The 18,680-nt window shown below is 40.6% G+C and overlaps 2 protein-coding genes, 1 non-coding gene and 1 pseudogene across 8 annotated transcripts in view, besides 5 other annotated features; 2 read left to right on the top strand and 2 right to left on the bottom strand.

Annotated features, from left to right (window-relative positions):
* The window catches only part of SKP2 (S-phase kinase associated protein 2), a 41,420-nt gene extending 36,435 nt beyond the window's left edge, over nt 1-4,985 (bottom strand). For all 5 annotated transcript variants that reach the window (XR_001742203.3, XM_047417536.1, NM_005983.4 and 2 more), the window contains exons 1-2: nt 4,826-4,985; nt 4,054-4,325 (exon numbers count right to left, since the gene is read on the bottom strand). Coding sequence is in view for 3 of the 5 variants with exons in the window: in XM_047417536.1 (XP_047273492.1) it covers nt 4,054-4,325; nt 4,826-4,833 (280 nt within the window). In the remaining 2 variants the exon portion in view is untranslated. The remainder of the gene's footprint in view (nt 1-4,053; nt 4,326-4,825) is intronic.
* On the bottom strand, nt 1,876-1,976 carry RNU6-1305P (RNA, U6 small nuclear 1305, pseudogene; annotated as a pseudogene).
* Nucleotides 4,679-4,868: an enhancer, noted in NCBI's record as "active region_22476". NCBI's record gives its function as "activates an Ori minimal core promoter by ATAC-STARR-seq in GM12878 lymphoblastoid cells {active_cell/tissue: GM12878}" and the evidence as "EXISTENCE:reporter gene assay evidence [ECO:0000049][PMID:35858748]".
* Nucleotides 4,942-5,925: an enhancer, noted in NCBI's record as "H3K27ac hESC enhancer chr5:36151273-36152256 (GRCh37/hg19 assembly coordinates)". NCBI's record gives its function as "activates a minimal SCP1, AML or CMV promoter by ChIP-STARR-seq in naive H9 embryonic stem cells {active_cell/tissue: H9 hESC(naive)}" and the evidence as "EXISTENCE:reporter gene assay evidence [ECO:0000049][PMID:30033119]".
* Nucleotides 4,942-5,938: a biological region, named in NCBI's record as "H3K27ac hESC enhancer GRCh37_chr5:36151273-36152256".
* Nucleotides 5,139-5,278: a silencer, noted in NCBI's record as "silent region_15971". NCBI's record gives its function as "represses an Ori minimal core promoter by ATAC-STARR-seq in GM12878 lymphoblastoid cells {active_cell/tissue: GM12878}" and the evidence as "EXISTENCE:reporter gene assay evidence [ECO:0000049][PMID:35858748]".
* LMBRD2 (LMBR1 domain containing 2) overlaps nt 5,209-18,680 on the top strand; it is a 53,481-nt gene continuing 40,009 nt past the window's right edge. Inside the window, exons 1-4 of one of the 2 annotated variants that reach the window (NM_001007527.2) lie at nt 5,209-5,540; nt 13,690-13,920; nt 14,497-14,594; nt 15,894-15,989. In NM_001007527.2, coding sequence (NP_001007528.1) covers nt 13,747-13,920; nt 14,497-14,594; nt 15,894-15,989 — 368 coding nt within the window. In that variant the 5' untranslated portion in view covers nt 5,209-5,540; nt 13,690-13,746. Of the gene's footprint in view, nt 6,009-13,689; nt 13,921-14,496; nt 14,595-15,893; nt 15,990-18,680 lie in introns of both variants that reach the window. The other variant, XM_011514162.3, reaches the window with a different exon arrangement.
* Nucleotides 5,879-5,938: a silencer, noted in NCBI's record as "silent region_15970". NCBI's record gives its function as "represses an Ori minimal core promoter by ATAC-STARR-seq in GM12878 lymphoblastoid cells {active_cell/tissue: GM12878}" and the evidence as "EXISTENCE:reporter gene assay evidence [ECO:0000049][PMID:35858748]".
* On the top strand, nt 9,108-9,204 carry MIR580 (microRNA 580). The gene has a single exon (NR_030306.1). It is a non-coding gene; the product is annotated as a microRNA 580 (primary transcript).

Below are 18,680 nucleotides of genomic sequence, written 5' to 3'. Positions count from 1 at the left end.
ATGAAATCAATTTAGTGGGTTTGACTAGCATATATGTACATATAAAGAATGAACTAGAACAGAATAGAAAATATCTTAGTAAGGGGAAATACAGTTTTGTAAAACTGCTGTTTCAGATACATACCCAGGATTGCAATGTAAAATATGTTTCTTACTGGTTAAAAAAAAAAAGTTGGAAAAAATGCTTGCCTAAGGGTATTAAGACACAGATTCCCAGGCTCACTCAGGCCAGGACTCCCCGGATCAGAATCTCAGGAATTTTACACTTTGAACAAGTTCCTGTGGGGATTCTGATATACAGTAAATTTTAGTATCTCCAGTCTGACAACCACTTTAGGGTCTGGAATTTCAAGCATTTAAGAGTCATGGAAGAGCTGATCAACAAATTAGTTCACCTCCATTTTCATGGCTATCACCTGTTTAAAGGGTGGGGTGGGGGACAAGCATTTCATGACCATAAATAAAATGCAATTGTCCCCTTTCCGCCTGTTACTGACCTCATTGCTGGGCCATTTCCTCCCCAACTCTTTCCATACACTCACTCCAAGGGCCAATCAGACCTGTTCTAGTACAGGTTGGCCACAGAGCTTTCATCTTCCCAGATAAACGGATGAAGAGGATTTAGTTGCCAGATGTACGGCTGGACTGGGGCCTGCAGGGAGAAACTGCTTAGCAAAGAACCAACAAAAACTTGCAGCCCAGAACCAGTCATCAGATATCTATGTACAGCAGGTGTGGCCTGTTCTACCCTAATCCTGGCAAAGCTAGTAGCCACCTGTCCTGACAACTGCAGACAAAACTCCTTGGAATGACAATCCGGCTCCACTGGAGGCCCAGGCTTCCAAAGGCCCATTGGGAATCCTCTATACCAGCTGTCCCTCATCCTGCATCACTGATTTCACCCTTCCCCACTCCACACCAATTAAGCAATCTCTGTTGTAAGTCCACGTACATTGGTTTCCCTCTGTGCCTCTCCTTAGGTAATAAACATAAAAGTCACCATTCTTTCTCTCTCCCTTCAGATATATACTTTTGAAGTCAGCTTTAACCATCAAGACACTGATTACACCATTTTCAGAGCCCTCTCTTTCCTCAGAATCTCCTTTCTTGCTGAGTGGAAGGAGGAAGATCTTCCACATCCACCTGAATGGGAATCACAGCTCTTATTTTTTATTGTATTTTCTCCTCAACTTGACTTGCAAATTCCTGGGAAATAGCAAAGACTCCGGAAACTTCTGTCTTGTTCCCACAGTGCCTTGCTTAAAAAAAATTCTTTTTCACTTGTGGAAGGGCATATAGCAATCACACTCTATGTCAAAAGCTATCGGCACTGGACAGGTTAATAAAAATCTGTTCATCTTAGCAGGAAGTATCTTTCGCCATATTTGGTTGGTCAAGCACCAGATTGTTAGGGCTACATTCCAGACACAAAGAAGAGCGGTGAACATTAAATTTTGAAGAAAAAAAATTTTATACTAACAGGGTCAGAGTAACAATATTAAAAACAAAAGATAAAAGTCCACTAGCCTCCAAAATTGGTGTCAGGAATTTTGTTGGCTTATGTATTGTTACGTGTCAGTGGCATGCTAAGGGTTTTACGTCATTCTCATTTAATCTTCACGACGACCTGTGAAGTGGGTATTATTACAGCACTCCATTTCACAGATAAAGGAACTAAGGCAAAGAAAGCTCGAATAACTTTCCAAGGCTGATAAACGCAAGAATGAGGATTCAAACCCAGATCTGACTTCACTACAACCCTCTACTGCTTTTCTAACTAATCCAATTCCTGATGTATATTCCCAGACCATAAATTGGGCAAAGTTCTCTTTCCTAAAGAAAAGGCTGAAAACAAACGTATTTATTTTCTTAATTAAAAGTGGAATGCATCTCGAATCCGCATGTCTTCCTGCGCAGGGGCCATGCTAATCTTCTCTGTATTTCCAGTTTCAGTATATGTGCTGCCAAAGCGAGCAACCAACCAATCAACTAAACAACCAATCTATCAACCCTTCTGCAAAGGAAACCAGATGGGAGAATTTATGAATATACTTAAATTACCTTGGGTCTGCAAGACTTCATCTTTAAATGTTTAATCTGTTTCTTCTTCGCCATCATCCCCCACCTGATTTCAATTTAGACTCTGATCACCTCTTCCACAGATGATTTCAACAGCCTCCTAAATTCTGTTGACTTTAATGTGGGAATATATCCGGAATCTGACCACCCTCACCCCCAACAAGACTTCAAGCTTTGGCCAGGTGTGGTGGCTCATGCCTGTAATCCCAGCACTTTGGGAGGCCAAGGCTGGAGGATCGCCTGAGTCCAGGAGTTTGAGACCAGCCTGGGCAAGATGGTGAGAACGCCCCCGCAACCTCCATCTCTACAAAAAATAAAAAAATTGCTGGGCGTGGTGGTGCATGCCTGTAGTCTCAGTTACTTAGGAGGCTGAGGCAGGAGAATCGTTCGAATCCAGGTGAAGACAGTGAGCCAAGAGCAGGTCACTGCATTCCAGCCTGGGCAACAGAGCAAGACTCCGTCTTGAAAATATGAAATTTAAAAAAGACCCTAAGTTTCTACCCTTGATGCCCCTGCAGCTGAGTCTCAACACATCAGTGTGTCATTTTTAGAAGGTTAAATCAGGTCCCATCACAACTCTGCTCAACATTACCTCCAGCCTGATCTCCCCCGACTCTCCCTTTCGCTCATTCCACTCTTAGAATATGGCTTCCCTGTTCCTGGAACAAATACGTCACATTTATGCACCAGGGTCTTTGCAGTGGCTGTTCCTTCTGCTTGGAGCTCTTTTCTCCAAGATATTTGCATGGCACACTCCTTGCCTCCTTTATGTCTTTGCTTAAAGGTCACTGTCCAATTGAGGCTTTCTCTCAATACCTGGTTTAAAAGTGCACTCTATCTTCCCACCCCAAGACCTGCATTCCCTCTTGGCTTGTTCTATTTTTGTTTTTAGCCATAGCTCTTATCACCTTCTAACATACTATATAAAAATAGTTATTGTGTTTATTGTATTCTCTCACTAGAATGGATGCTCCCTGAGAGCAGAAATGTTTGTTGTGCCCACTCCTCTATCTCCAGCACCTGGAACACGGCCTAGCACATGGTATGTGCTCAGCAAATATTTGCTGTATTACTGTTTTAAATAGCTTACTAGTAAGAAAAACTGATAACCCCAGGTCAATGCCCTGTTTATCCTATGGCTTTTGCATACTCCAGGGTTCTGGTTCACTCTGGGAGGCACTCGTTCGCCTGCTTGAGGAACTAGGGGATGGGGAGCTATTAAGGAGGGAAGATACAGTAAGTTCTACATTTCAGTCAATCCATTCTAGTTCGGGGGATAGATCTGGGGAGAAGAAGGTTGGAATTATGAATCCACTCCAATAGTTCAGGCAAGAGACGACGAGAACTTGAGAAATAGTTACCAGAGAAGAGGGAAAGATGCGATGAATGACTGGATGTTGGGGGGCGGTGGGAAGCTGACTGACTCTCAGGTTTTCGGGTTGGGTGATTAAACAGATAGTGTCAGCAGTAATGGAGACAGAACATACCAGGAGAAGCCAATATGGGGGTGGGAGTGGGCCTGGGGAGATGTCTCCCCCACTTAGGTGAACGTTCACTTCGCAGTCCACTGATAAATAACTAAAGTGATTAAGGCAAAAAGATCACTCAGGGGTACAAAGCAAAAGGAATCCTACAAGAAGACCACTGTTTATGTTTCTGTTAAACGGTGAAACTGAGCTGGCCTTGAGGCAGGCAGATTCCCTTCTAAGGAAAAAGGCAGGAATGTCTTCTCATGGGTTAAAATTTTCAAGGTGATTATGCACCAGAACATACATATATATATATATATATATATATATATATCTACCAAGATTCCTGCATACTTGACGACTTGCCCTATTTTGTTGAAAAATAGCTTCAGAATTAGGCAATCTTAAAAGGAACCCATGCTAAAGATCTCTGAACAAAGGTTTCCCAACAACATAGCTAAATCCACCCTTTGCATAACTGACATTTTTACCCTCATGTCCTTACCTGGAAAGTTCTCTCGATTTAGCTTAGGCCTGCGGACAATCACAAAGTCTTTGTCACTCCCTTTGCTCTTCAGCCGTTTCCGTGGGGGGCTCTCCGGGTGGCCCAGGTTTGAGAGCAGTTCCTGGGGGATGTTCTCACTGTCGGGCTCCTCTTTCTCCAGGGCGGAGACCCCCATGCCTGACAGCAGTTCAGAAGTCTTGCTGGAATCCCATCCCCACGTGAAGCTGGTGGCAACGTTGCTACTCAGGTCTGGAATCTCCTGGAGGTGCTTCCTGCAGAAGTGCACAATACCCCCGGTTCCTTTCGAAAACACACCCATAAATAATTTCAAGGCAATTAAAGAAGCTGCAGTTTATGCATTGTAGGAAACCTTCACAGCAGCTAACAGAATCGCATTTTTTATGTGCCTGCGGCGAGTTACCAAGAAAACGAAGAAATGAAAAGAACAAATCGAGAAGGCTTTTTGACTTACGATCCTGCAGAAGGCCTCAAGAATTTCTCCCAGTGGAGGGAACAGACAAGGAGAGAGACAGGGCAATCATACACTGATTGAAAACGGTGGCAGAAAAGCCCAATTAGGGAAGCCAAATAAAACCACACGCTGATCCCCGCACTAAGGCATCCATCCATTCACACTTTCCCCAAGAAGGGGCTAAGCAACCATTCACTTAACAGCATTACTAACAATATTAGCCAGTAGCGATATTCGCGGCCTAAAAGAATTATTAAGAGGGTCCATTTCATGCTCTTCCCCTTTTTGCAATCCGTTTACCTGTGCATAGCGTCCGCAGGCCCGGGAGTTTAAAATACGTGCATTAACTGCAGAGCTGCTCGCCTCCCAGATTCCCGCTTTGGCGCGCGGCGGCTCCGAGCGTGCTGCTCGGGCCCCCAGCAGCCAGACCCGCTAAGCCTAGCAACGTTCCATCCCCACTGCGCGCGCAAGGCTCTACAGCCCGCTCTGCTTCGCGGCCGCACTGAGGCCCAAGGCCTGCTGGGAATTGTAGTTTCCGTCCCGCTTCGTAGTCCGACGGGCTCGCCCTTACTTCCTTCCCTTGCAGCTTTACCCGCCTTCGAGATACCCACAACCCCCCGCGGGAGCGGGACTGGTCGGCCCACGGGGTAGGCGGGGAGGCGGAAGCGGGCGGCGCTACGGCTGACTGGGAAATGTCAGCCGCTGGACTGTAGACGGATTTTCCTTTCTCGGGAGCCCGCAGGCCTTCTGGTGATCGCCAGCGCTGTCGTCTCTGAGCGTGGATCCCAGAACCTGGACAGCTGTGGCGGCCGCCGTTTCCCGGTCCCGTCCAGACGCTGTCTGGCGAGATCGGACGGTGAGCCTAAGGCGGAACGCGTGAGGCGCTTTTGAGTCTGGGGTCCGGGGCCGAGAGCAGGCGGAAAGAGAGGGGACCCGGCAGACCCCGAGTGGCCGCCGCTGCGGGGCCCAAGTCCTTGGCTGCTGAGTGGTGACAGTAGCCCAGCCCGCCGGCCAGGTGAGAGGCTGCGAACTGCTGGCGTCGCACCTGTTCGTCCTTTTGCCAGGAAGCTTCTTCCTCCGTCGGGGAGAAGGCGGCCCTAAGAATTGGGTCTGTGGACGGGATCCTTCCTTTATCTGTAAAATAACGCACAACAGCTAAACACGCCGTTGGAACGAGAGACAATGGTTTAATTTTAGGGGAGCCGGAGACCCCAGCGGGTCCTGTGTGGTGGGAAGGCTGCGCATGCCCTTGCAGCCTTGACAGGTCTCATAAATAGCAACATGGGAATAAATGAAAGGACTGTATTTTGCAACGAGCTTTACCCGTGCACGCAGGGGGCCTCCAGCAAAGCCATTTGGTTGCTTGCTGTCGCTCAGCTGGCTACGTGTGTTTGCGTCGCCGCCTAAAAGCGAGCTGCTTTCAGCCTATCTCTGCTGAGAAGAGTTTGGGGGCAGTAAGAGTAGGGAGCGTGACATATTCCAGGTACAATGACCATGCGAAATCCATTGGGCAAACTATACTACAACTGTGACCCCGGGAAAACAGTGGAAGAGGGAAGGGGGATGAATTCTAAGCCTCATAAAAATGAAGATTTATAAAGTTCATAAGGAAGCATAACAGCTTCATCGCATATTAGAATATTCAGTGATGCTGTATGACACACCCTCTGGTTTCCTTGAAAAAATGATTCGCTCTGTAGTGAAATTAAACCTCCCTTGTGCAGGTATATGCTTGTTTCAAGCTTGGTCCTTAGCTTGAAAAGTAACTGCCTCTTGAGGAAGGAATTCATGAACCTTTAGCTCGTTCTTGAAAGATGAGATTGGTGTAAAGAAGGGATCTGTTCACAACTTGGTTTTGATTGGAACTAGGTGCAGAATCCTAGGCTAAGCCGTTCATCAAACTAATGTTATATGGAAAGCATTTTAAAATGCAATATCCTGATGTTTTACAGAAAGTGACCTTTATGTTACTTTGGCTAAGGAGAAAGCATTTGCCTTTGTTTGAAGCTACGTCCTTTCCCTGAAGATTGCAACTCATAGGAGAAAATATTTTTGACACAAAAAATTATAGTTTCCTTCAGGAAAGGGAACAAAACAGAGAGAGCCTGTAAGCTAATGGAGGAGAAAGAATAAACAAAAATATTTAAGATGCCATAATGAGAATAAACAGTTTTGAGATGTAAAATAATTGGGAGAGCCCACTTCAGATATAGATCTCATAGATAGGAAGGTTTAATCGATGAGATGATTCTAAATTTAAAGATGAGAAATATCTTTGTTCAGTCTTGGTTTTACTAGGAGTTACCTGGGAACTAGAATACTTGCAACATCTGAATTAGTGAACACAAGATCCTCTCTAGGACTTCAGGGAGAGCCTGTCAGTTTTGAAATTCAGTTTGATAGTTTGCCCCGGTAACAGACATACTTCATCTTCCTAATATGGGAATAATTTTTTTTTGCCTTCCTTCTAATCATGACTATTGCCTTAATATAATAAATGCAAGTTTAAATTGGTACATTAGATTCTTTTTAACGTAAGGAATTGTGTCCATTGAAGACGAGATTAGTAGGTACATAGAGGTTGCTATCTGGTCATAAAGAACTGCATTGTGATTGCTACTGATGTATCTTATTTTTTCTGATTAATTTTATTTTTATTTTTTGAGAAGAAATTTCACTCTTATTGCCCAGGCTGGAGTGCAATGGCGCAATCTCGGCTCACCATAACCTCCACCTCCCATGTTCAAGCAATTCCCCTGCCTCAGCCTTCCTGAGTAGCTGGGATTACAGGCATGCGCCACCACGCCTGGCTAATTTTGTATTTTTAGTGGAGACGGGGTTTCTGCATGTTGGTCAGGCTGGTCTCGAACTCCCGACCTCAGATGATCCACCCACCTCAGCCTCCTAAAGTGCTGAGATTACAGGCGTGAGCCTCCGTGCCCAGCCGATTCTTACATCTCTTTAAAAGGAAGACGGTCCACCCTTCTTTGTTTCTCCATCCTGCTGTCTAGATGATGATAGGATTCCTGGAGTTCCAGCATCTGTCCTGGAACATAAGGATTAAAGCCACCTGCTAAGGATGTGGACTATAGAAGGGGCCTGGGCCTCTGATAATCTGCTAACTTGCCATAACCACCTATCTCAAGACTTACACGAGAAATAAATTCTGCATTGTATAAGTCTGTACTATATTGGACTTTTCTGTTATGTGTAGCCAAACTAATCTTGAATAATGTATTTCCAGAACTGATAGTCTCTGTGGTGGTGGCAGCTACCTGTTTACATAACCCTTATCACCCCCTAATGTATTTTTTTTAATTGCCTGTTTCTTCCCACTAGACTTTTTAAGGGCAGGGACTTTGCTTGGATTTTTCTATCTCCAGCCCCTTGAACAGAGCTCACCATATAGTAGGCGTTCAGTAAATATTTGCTAAATGAATGAATGGTGCTTGGAACTAAGTAGATCTTTAATTCATTGTAATTTAATGCTCTAAGATAGGCAGCTTGGGGCAAGAACAAACGGATTCTAATTTACTCTATGTTTTCCACTTTTCCCATGTAGAGTACAGTCATATATTACCCTTAAATCAAGTAATAGTAGTATAATCTGTAATGTAAAAAGTTTGCGTTAAATTCTTTATTAAACATGACTAAGCATTCTGTCCTGATATATCTAAAAGAAATGGGAGAAAGTTTCTAATTTGTTCCCTGTGAAGACTGAACAAAATAAATCATTAAGCAATTTAAATTGCATTAAGAAACTATGTCTAGATTAGAGAAGAGACATGTAATTATGATCCAGGCTCTGTAGTAAAGATGCCTCTATTTGAATCCCAGCTTTACCATTCACCAGCTCTGTTAACTTGGACAAGTTACTTAACCTCTCTGCACTGTTTTTTTTCTGTTAAGCAAGGAAACGAACAGCCCTTTCTTACTAGGTTGTGAGGTCTAATTTGATAAAGCTTGGCAGGTACTAGTATTAATACAATGCTTAAAATTTAGTGAACACATTCTAAATGTTAGCTATTCGTTTTTTGAAATTATTTTATTATTAGGAAGGACTTTACAGATTATTCTCTATCAAAATGTCTTGCAATTTCTATGTATGAAATCTTTAAGAATTCAGTAAAATTTTAGTTCTTTTTTCTTATATGCTTACATGATTGCTACCTCTTCTCTTCATGCCTTGCAAAAGGTAAAGCAGGACAGTATGCCACTGTCCTCAGGGGCTTGTCACATTTTGGAATTCAGGTTACCTGGTTGGTTCGCCAACTCAGCTCTTAGGTACCTTTAAAAAATATTATGATGGTTTTTTTTTTTTTTTCATTTTTCGAGTGGGAGTAATAGTCTCTTGCAGTAGTCTGTGTCCTAAACTGAACTCTCTCATACCTGAAATCTTTAAATATGTGAATAACGATTATGTTTGGAAGATTTAAATTTAATTATTGGTGGAAAATTGTTGACTTAATCATTCACTTCTAATTCTGGTTCTTTTGATTTTTCATAATTAGGATTTTGAGTTGTCTCCTGGTTTTTATTATTTTGCACATATCTGAGTAAAAATACAGATATGTGAAGTTAGATAAAATTTCCAATTGGAACCTAATGATTCATCAGACTCAGATATTTAAGTTAACAGTATTTGAGAATGATGAATCATTAGGTTCCGGTCAGAAATTTTTCATTCAGTTTCAGAATCTTTGGTTTTGACAAAATTGTTGTCAGTGTTTTGTTTGTGTTCTGATCACTTGGTACCCATTCTCTCTCTCTCTCTCTCAAAACATTTGGAATTCTTCAAACTACAAAATTATCTTAACCTCTGAAGTTCCATCAAAGGGTATTTGGCCTGAAAAACTATTATCAGCCGTAAAGTACTCAGGAAACAGTACTTTAGTCAGTAACATTAGTCAGTAACATTAACACGCTAATTGTGAAACCATTATAAAGGCATTTGAAAGTAATATTGAATAATATTTTGATGATTGGAAAAAGATTGAATTGGATTTTAAATGTTTAAGACTTTCAGAACTGGTGTTTTGAAGGGTACGATATGCCCACACATCGGGCACTAAAATCTGGTAGTTTTAATGAATTGCCATTTTGATTTCGAGTATAATCAAGTTTTGCTACTGTGGTGCTTAATCACATGGAACTGAATTTTTATTTACCTCCCCATTTTAGTATCACCATCATCATCATTATCATCATTATCATCCCCTTTCTTCTCCTTCTTCCCTAAACCTTGCAACTCATCACTTGAATGTTGGCACAAGGTTAAAGATATGGACTTTGAAACTATTATTTTCTCAAGTTAGGAAAACCCCAATTTTTATCTCCAGTTTCATGGGATCACTGGTCCTAATCTGTGTCATAATAAGGCAATATAGTTCGGCCTCAACAGAAATAGATGGTATGGTAAACAGAATAATAAACCCCTAAGAATGTCTATGCTCTTATCTCTGGAACCAGTAAAAATGATGAAATTATTCAGGCAGGCCCAGTGTAATCAGATAAGCCCTGTAAAACAAATTTCAAGTGTGAGAAGAATTTGACAAGCCATTGCTGCTTCTAAAATATTCAGGACCACAGACACACACACACACACACACACACACACACACACACACACTCACACACACACACACACACGCAGAGAGAGAAGTGAGTGAGGAGATAGATATGTTAATTTGTTTGACTATGGTGATTATTTCACTGTATATGTACAGTATATCAAAACATCACTGTTGTGCACTTTAAATATATACAATTTAAAAACATATACAGAGCCACATGCAAAGACTGGGGAGAGGCCTCTAGAGCTAAGGTTAAATGCCAGCTGTCAGTTTGCAGGGGAACAGGGATCTCAGTCCTATAACCATAAAGAACTGAGTTTTGGCTTGGCTAGGTGGATCATGCCTGAAATCTCAGTGCTTTGGGAGGCCAAGGTGAGAGGATCACTTGCAGCCAGGTATTTGAGTCCAGCCTGGGCAACATAGCAAGACCCTGTCTCTACAAAAAAAATTTTTTTTTAAAATTAGCCAGGCGTGGTGGTGTGCACCTATAGTCCTAGCTATCTGGAAGCTGAGGTGGGAGGATCAGTTGAGCCCAGGAGCTCAAGGTTATGTTGAGCCATGATCATGCCACTGCCCTCCGGCCTGGGCGACAGTGTGAGACCCTGCCAGTAGCCTGAATGAGATTAGAAATGGATTCTTCTTCAGAGAAAGATGCAAACCTGCTGACACCTTGATTTTAAACTTGTGTGACCCTAAGCAGAGAACTAAGTTGAACTATGCTATGTTTGAACTTCTGACCTACAGAAGCTATAAGATATTAATACTAAATGGATGTTGTTTAAAGTCACTAAGTTTGTAGTAATTTGTTACAGCAGTGGTAAGATACTAACACATGAAGTGTGGGAAGGTATGTAACCAAATCATTTATTACTAGAATAAAGGATCCATAATTCTATTTCTTCATCTACAACCCTTTAAAGTGCTGACTATGAATCAGACTGAAAAACAGAGTGCCATAGTAAAAAAATTAATAGCTAGTGTCAGGTTTATAACTGATTTTGTTGTTTGCTTATTATGCCCATAATCTTACCACCTAAAGACTATTGATGTTTTAATATATTTCATTGTTACCTTACTCTTTTTTATGCTTATGTAAAAATATGTGCCAAATTTTCAATTGCTGTTAGGGTAATTTTCTGATGTTATTAAATAATCTTAACAAACATTATTTCTTATACTACAATAATATTTCATCATTTGGCTCTGCCATGCTTTATTTAGCATTTCTTTGGTAATCTCTAATATTTAGTCTTTTTTTTGTATGATTGTCATATTCCTTGCACTGGACAATTTCAGGTCTAGTTCAAGTCATAAAAGGATTTTCAGTTAATTATGTTATATTTAAACTCACATCAATTGGGTTTTTTTAAAGAAAAAAAACCCTAGATCTCGAAGATGGTTTTGTTATCAGCACATTCTGCATTGAGCTTTCAGCCAACTACTTAATCTATGCTTAGCTTAAAAATAAGATTTGGCTGGGCGCTGTGGCGCATGCCTGTAATTGCAGCACTTTGGGAGCTGAGGCAGGTGGATCACTTGAGCTCAGGAGTTCGAGACCAGCCCAGGCAACATGGCAAAACCTTGTCTATTTTTTAAAACATAAGATTTGACTTTGTTGTGGTATAAGTTGTTTCATAGAATATGAAATTTGAAAATTTGAGTAGTATTTGGTAATGTTCAGAGTTTTAAGCCTTTTGAGTTGTAATAAGTATTTGTTAAATCAGTTTACCATTACACGAGTTTTACATTGCCTTTGAAGTCGTCAGTAATAGAAAAATAGTGTATGTACTAAACTACACAGTATTTTTTATTATTTCAACAAATATTTCTTGATACTACTGTATGCCAGGTACTAACTACATCAGACAACTGGAATATAGTATGGAATAAAATAGTCAAGTCTCTGCTCTCATAGAGTCTCTGGGGTAAGGGGAGAGGTGTGGAGAGACAATAAATATAAAGAATGTGTATTATATCAGATGAATAAATGCATTGAAGGAAAATATAGCAGGATAAGAGGGTAGAGATTGATGAAAGAAGTTCAATTTTAGATAATTAAGAAAAATGAAAATATTGACAGTTGAAATGGAAACTGTTTACCAATATAAAAAATAGTGAAGAAAATTGTTCATTAAATGTGATTTTTCTATGTGATAGTTCATGTAGGAGTATTTTGTATATAAATTTAAATTTAACCATTTAAAGTACTTAAATTGTCTTTTCTATTATTCTAAATAGTTTTAGTTAAAGATGTTTGTTGATTTGAAGTATTTCATTGGTTCTCCCTTATTTTGTTATTTATTTATTTATTTTGAGACAGAATTTTGCTCTTGTTGCCCAGGCTTCAGTGTAATGGCACGATATCGGCTTACTGCAACCTCTGCCTTCCAGGTTCAAGCGATTCTCCTGCCTCAGCCTACTGAGTAGCTGTGATTACAGGCACCCGCTACCACACCTGGCTAATTTTTGTATTTTTAGTAGAGATGGTGTTTCACCATGTTGGCCCAGGCTGGTCATGAACTCCTGACCTCAGGTGATCCGCCTGCCTTAGCCTCCCGAAGTGCTAGGATTACAGGTGTGAGCCACTGCCCCTTATTTTATTTTGTTGGGTTGATCACACTCTTGATTCTCTGTGTTAGGATATTAATCAATTCCTTGAAATACTGTAGTATGTAGATAAACAAAAGTCTAACATTGATTTTACAAAGGAGAAAAAGTTCATATTGCCTTTGATTAGTAAATTTTTTTAAGTATAGAGAGATATCAAATTTTTCAATTTTAAAATAGAGACTTTAAATCTCTATACTCTAACTTTTTTGAGTAGAGAGATATCAAGTAAACTATTCGCTGATGACTGTATCATAAAATTAAGAATGTTTTCAAATGTATGACTTTAATAGTCATTGATAAATTTTCTGCATATAAAATAGTAGAAAAATTAAAAATGAGAATTTATCAAAGTAAGTTTAAAGATTTATGTAGATAAATGGAAGTGATAAATATATTTTGTAAAGCAGTGAGTAAGAATTTCATGAAAGTTGAGTTGTTAGGTGAAATTAACACAAAAGAAAAATACTATTTCAAAAAACAAAAGGTTACTTTTAAATGGTCTCTTTCCGTTTTTTCCTTCCTCTCTTTTAGAAAATCTTAAATTATAGAGGATGAATAATCTTAGTAAAATGTATTTTACTAAGTATCTAATTTCCTAGGATTTAGTTAACAGCTTATTTGCATAAACTATTCTGTTAGGACTTATAATATTAAGAAACAAACTCCAGATGACACTGTATTAAAACTGTTCACATCTAAAATAAGAACTTCTTAATTTGTAATATTGTAAGAACTAATAATTTTTGTTAAGTTTTTGAAAATACAAGGTACGTGAAATTTTTTAAGTGTGCTTTAAAAATAAAATATAAGTACTTGAGGATAGGAATTACCCTTTTAATCTTATTCATAGTCCAATGTGAAGCATGACATTTCTCCAAAGAGTTGATTAATGTATTAATGTACTAATAAATATTCAGATGAAATTTCCAAATGTCATTTCCTGTGTTAATGATGCATTTTAACCTTCTTTTTACTTTATAGATATGGTCCAGACCTGTACATGAATAACTTTGGTTAGTCAGAGTGAAATATTCAATAATGAGTGGTGCAGCTTTGGGACTTGAGATTGTTTTTGTCTTTTTTCTGGCATTATTTCTGCTTCATCGATATGGAGACTTTAAGAAACAGCATAGACTTGTGATTATTGGAACACTGCTTGCTTGGTATCTCTGCTTTCTTATTGTCTTCATACTGCCTCTGGATGTTAGTACGGTAAGGAGTGAAATTTATTTTCACAATTTAAAAGACAAATTTTAATCATACAGCATGTTGGAAATAATGTTATTTCTTAAGACAGCTAAGTTATGTCAGTTTTGAATTAAAAGATTATATGGCCATTTGATCATTAAAAAGCATAGCCAAGGGCCGGGCGTGGTGGCTCACGCCTGTAATTTTAGCACTTTGGGAGGCCCAGACTGGCGGATCACAAGGTCAGGAGATCGAGACTATCCTGGCTAACACGGTGAAACACCGTCTCTACTAAAAATACAAAAAAAATAGCCGGACGTGGTGGCGGACGCCTGTAGTCCCAGCTACTCGGGAGGCTGAGGCAGGAGAATGGCGTGAATCCGGGAGGCGGAGCTTGCAGTAAGCCGAGATCGCGCCACTGCACTCCAGCCTGGGCGACAGAGTGAGACTCTGTCTCACACAAAAAGAAAAAAAAAAAAAAAAGAATAAAGCATAGCCAAGAAGGTAAGTTTAGATAGATAGATTTATAAACTCTGATGTCCTTTAAGTACTTGGTAACCTTTTGATTCTCATTTTTAAACCATACATTCGTTGCTTTAGACAATATACAACCGGTGCAAGCATGCTGCTGCAAATTCAAGCCCTCCTGAGAATAGCAACATTACAGGATTGTACGCAACTGCTAACCCTGTTCCAAGGTATTTCCTTTTTTAAAAAAAATATATAAACATTGTAGGGGACACATTGTTTAAAAATTGAAAGTTTTTACCATCCAGACTTTATATTTATGTAAGTTATCCTCATTCTCTACTAATTCTCCCCACCTCTATTCTTTCCTAGTAGACTTTTCATTACATCATATTCTAATTAAATCTAATTTTTAATATTTATTGGTCCACAAAGCCCTTCAGTAGACGGTAGTGAGAAACTTGAAGAAGTCCTGATTTTTTAGTCCTGGTTCTTCTTTACCAAGTATGTAATTTCTAAAACCTGTTTTTCCTCTCAGCCTATCTCAGATTTAAAAACGTGGGATGTATTTTCACTTTTGCCTAATTTACAAGGTTATAATAAAGACAAGTATTTCTGAACTTATGGTATTCCTTTCATATTGCACATCCTTCAAAAGCATTATAGATTTACATAAAAAATTAATAAAGTTCAAATTGTCCAAAGATTATATTGAATTCATATCGAACTTTTAAGTAAAAAGCTTATATATGTTGACTATAGCCTTTATGAATGCTTTCAGTAGTATTTGCATGCTTCTTTATGCATATTTTTAAAAAATCTAACTTCAGAAAAGGTAAATTTAAAATGCAGGTGTTACTTCCATTTGAAGCACTATTAAAAAAACTGGATAAAGATCAGCAGCAGCTACAGATTGTTGCAAGTTCTTGGGATATCCTTCTAGCTTAGGAATATGGCTCCATGGCAGAATTTATGATCAGAGACTCATCATGTCTTCAAAAATTTAAACAGAATTATGTATAATTGCTAGCATGCATCTCCATAGAAGCTATGTTATAGTGAGTGATTTAATTAGCATTACAATTTTCAGGAATTAATTACCTAATGTTTTCCCCTCCCAACCCCTATAACCTGAAAAAAAAAAAACCCAACCTATAAATGGATTGTGTATTTTAAAGGTAATCATTAGAAATTTTATTTCATAATACATTTGCTTTTAATGATTGTTGCACTTTTAGTCTATTAGTTGAACATTAAGTTTTCTTTTTACCCAATGACTAAAAATACACTGAAAGTTGAAAACTTAAATGACATTTTCAGAACAATCTATTTTGTTGCTTTTGTGTGTTTTTTTAGTTTGGCAGTCAGCTTTGAATTTTAAAATTTCTTTGAAATTTTATGGGTTATTGATTATTAGAGTCAGTAATTTAAAATCTGAATGTAAATTAACTTGGCCACATGCAAATTAATTGTATAATTCATTTAAGTAGTCATTTATGATTAGTTGGCTTTAACTTTTTATTCAACAGCCAGCATCCTTGTTTCAAGCCATGGAGTTACATTCCTGATGGAATCATGCCAATTTTCTGGAGGGTAGTGTATTGGACGTCACAATTTTTAACATGGTAAGTTACAGTAAATGATAAAATTTTTAAAATTTTGGCTAAAGGAATAAAATGTTTTTCAATCAATATAGTTTGGAATTTATTTATGTGTCATATGCATTCTGAATCTTTCTACCCATTATTTTTATCTTTCTGCTGTGCTCCAAACTCATAGTTATCCACTGTCTACTAAGCATCTCTTAGATCTGCAAACAACTGCACTCTAAAACTGGAGGCACTGAACATTGCAAGAGAAAAATTACATAGCAGAGTAGTGCTTTTGTAAAGTCATGTCTATTAAATTCAACTGGGCTCTCAACATTGCCAGACTTTCCTTCTTTGTTTTTTTTAGTTTGCTTTCTTTCCATTTTCTACAAGAAATATTTCCATTCACTTCAAACTTCCGTCCTCTTTATGGCTTTCTCTCTTGTGCTCCCTAACAACAACAACAAAATCATCTTTACTCTTAGCCTCTTAGCAGATGACTACTTTCCATCCAGCAGTTAAAACAGGAGTCATCAGACGGCAGCTCTTTCAGCTTCTCACCAACAAATCTACATACCTACCCATCTTTTTTTCTTTCCCCTCCAAAGATGGAAGAGTCATGCTTGTTAAAGCCAATACTTCTGTCACAGGATCCTTAGGGGTGTTGTTTTGCCAGCTGGAAACCTCTATGGCCAGTAGCACCTTTGCCTGAATTTTACTCAGGCCCGCTGGGCTTATTCCGCTTACTCAGCCTGGCAGGTTGCACTTAGCTCATGCTCCTGGCTCTGATCTCATGACTCCCAAGGGCGAGCCAGGCATGGAGTGGTGAGGGGTGTGTGAGTGAGTGAGCATGGGATCCAGCCACTGAGCACAGCCAGACACGCTGGCTGCTGTGGCAGGGTGGGCAGCTCCAGGCATCGGCACAGGTGTCGGCTCTGTGAAAGCCTGTGGCTGGGTCAGATGCACTGCAAGCAGCTTCTGCTGTGGGCACCTGCATCTGGATGAGAGGAATGTGGTGGTACCCAGAAGCTTGGAGATGCCAGAAACCTCAGAGCTCCAAAGAGGGTGTCACAGCCCTAGCTTGGGGAGCCCCTAGATCTGGGCTCCTGGAAGGGCCACAGCTCTTCTCTTCTCGTCACCTGCAACATGGCAAGTGGCAGGGCCATGTTTCAGCCCTGTTTGTGTTTCAGCTCCTTCAGTTCTGCCATTCAGCAGGTCCTGAGTTCTTGTCCTACATCCAGGAAGAATGAGGTATGCAGACAACTGGAGGGTGAGCAAGGTGAAGAGGTGCTTTATTGAGTGATAGTACAACTCTCAGGAGACCCAAAGTGGATAGCTCCTTTCTGCAGGCAGGTTGTCCTGACAAGTATAGCTCTCAGTGGAGAGGAGCCCCAGAGTGGGTAGCTCCTATCTGCAGGCAGGTTATCCCAATCGTCTGTGCAGCCCCCAGTAGAGAGGAGACCTGAAGTAGATAGCTCCTATCTGTAGTCAGGTTGTCCTGTCATCTACCTAAGTGGGGCTGAGTCTGGGGTTTTTATGGGCTTCAGAGAGGAGAAAGTGTGCACTGATTGGGCCATAGGCAGACCTGGATAAAGCACCCTAAGTTCTCACTCTGGTCCACAGAGCTGATGGCCTGGCCTCCATGCTTCAGGCTGTCCCTGGCTTGAAGGTGGGGCTTCACCGGGGACCTGCCCACTTCTGCCCAGGAGCCTATCTGCCTCCTGCCACCATCAATCATGTCATTTATGGCACCCAGGCTGTTCATGCCAACCAGTGCCTGCAGGCCCATGCTGAGCTGCCCTCAGCCCCACTGTCAGCCTCCCTTCTGTGCTTGTTGATGTCCAAAGTCCAGAGTGGGCTGAGGCAGCCGGGGGCTGGTGTCAGTGCTGCCCTGAGCATGTGTGCACACCCAGCTAGGTTACAACAGTGCCTGGATTCAGTCACAACTTTTCTCCAAAATCAGAGCAGGTGTCAGGAGCAGGTACTTCCAAGCCTGTAGGGGTATGGGGGCTTTCTGGGTCCCCGAAAGTGCAGGGATGCCTGGGTCCACAGCCACAGCTGGGCAGCTGCAGCTATGCCCAGAGCAGGGCTCCTGCCCCGCCAACTCGGAAGGGGGTGGGGCTCCCACCTCTTCCCAGCTCCTGCTAGCTCCATGGAGTGCACAGTCCCCGCCAGTCCCCCCACACTGCGGCCAGCAACTTTGCTGGGGGCCACTCCAGACAAGCTGCTGCTGCCATCACTTCTTCCTAAAATATGGATCCATCCCCTTCAGCTCTTGTTACATACTTGTAGCTTTCAATTTCAACGAAGCATGCACATTTCTCTCATCTTTTGAAAAGAAAACAAACAAAAATGAAAGTCTCTCAATTCAGATTCCTTTCCAGCTTCTGCCTTGTTGATCTGATCACAACTAAATTTTTTTAGAAACTTTTTAAAATTGAAGCATAAGTTCGTACCGAAAAATGCATAGATTGTGTTTAGTTTGACTTTTTTCAAAGTGAATACACCCATACACCAGCACTCAGATGATGTTATAGAACATTAGCAATGCCCCCAGAAGCCTCGCTCACGCTTCCCTGTGTAGTCATCCCGCACTCCCCAGAAGTAACCATGATTCTGACTTCCGTCACCATAGATTAGTTTTTGCCTGTTTATGAACTTTATAAGCATAGAATTATACATTGTGAACTTTTTTGCATCTCTCTTTGCTCACATATTTGGGAAATT

Source organism: Homo sapiens, chromosome 5, assembly GCF_000001405.40.
Source record: "Homo sapiens chromosome 5, GRCh38.p14 Primary Assembly".
NCBI lineage: Eukaryota > Metazoa > Chordata > Mammalia > Primates > Hominidae > Homo > Homo sapiens.
Note: the sequence above shows the minus strand (reverse complement) of the source record. Positions and strands in the feature narration are given on the sequence as shown.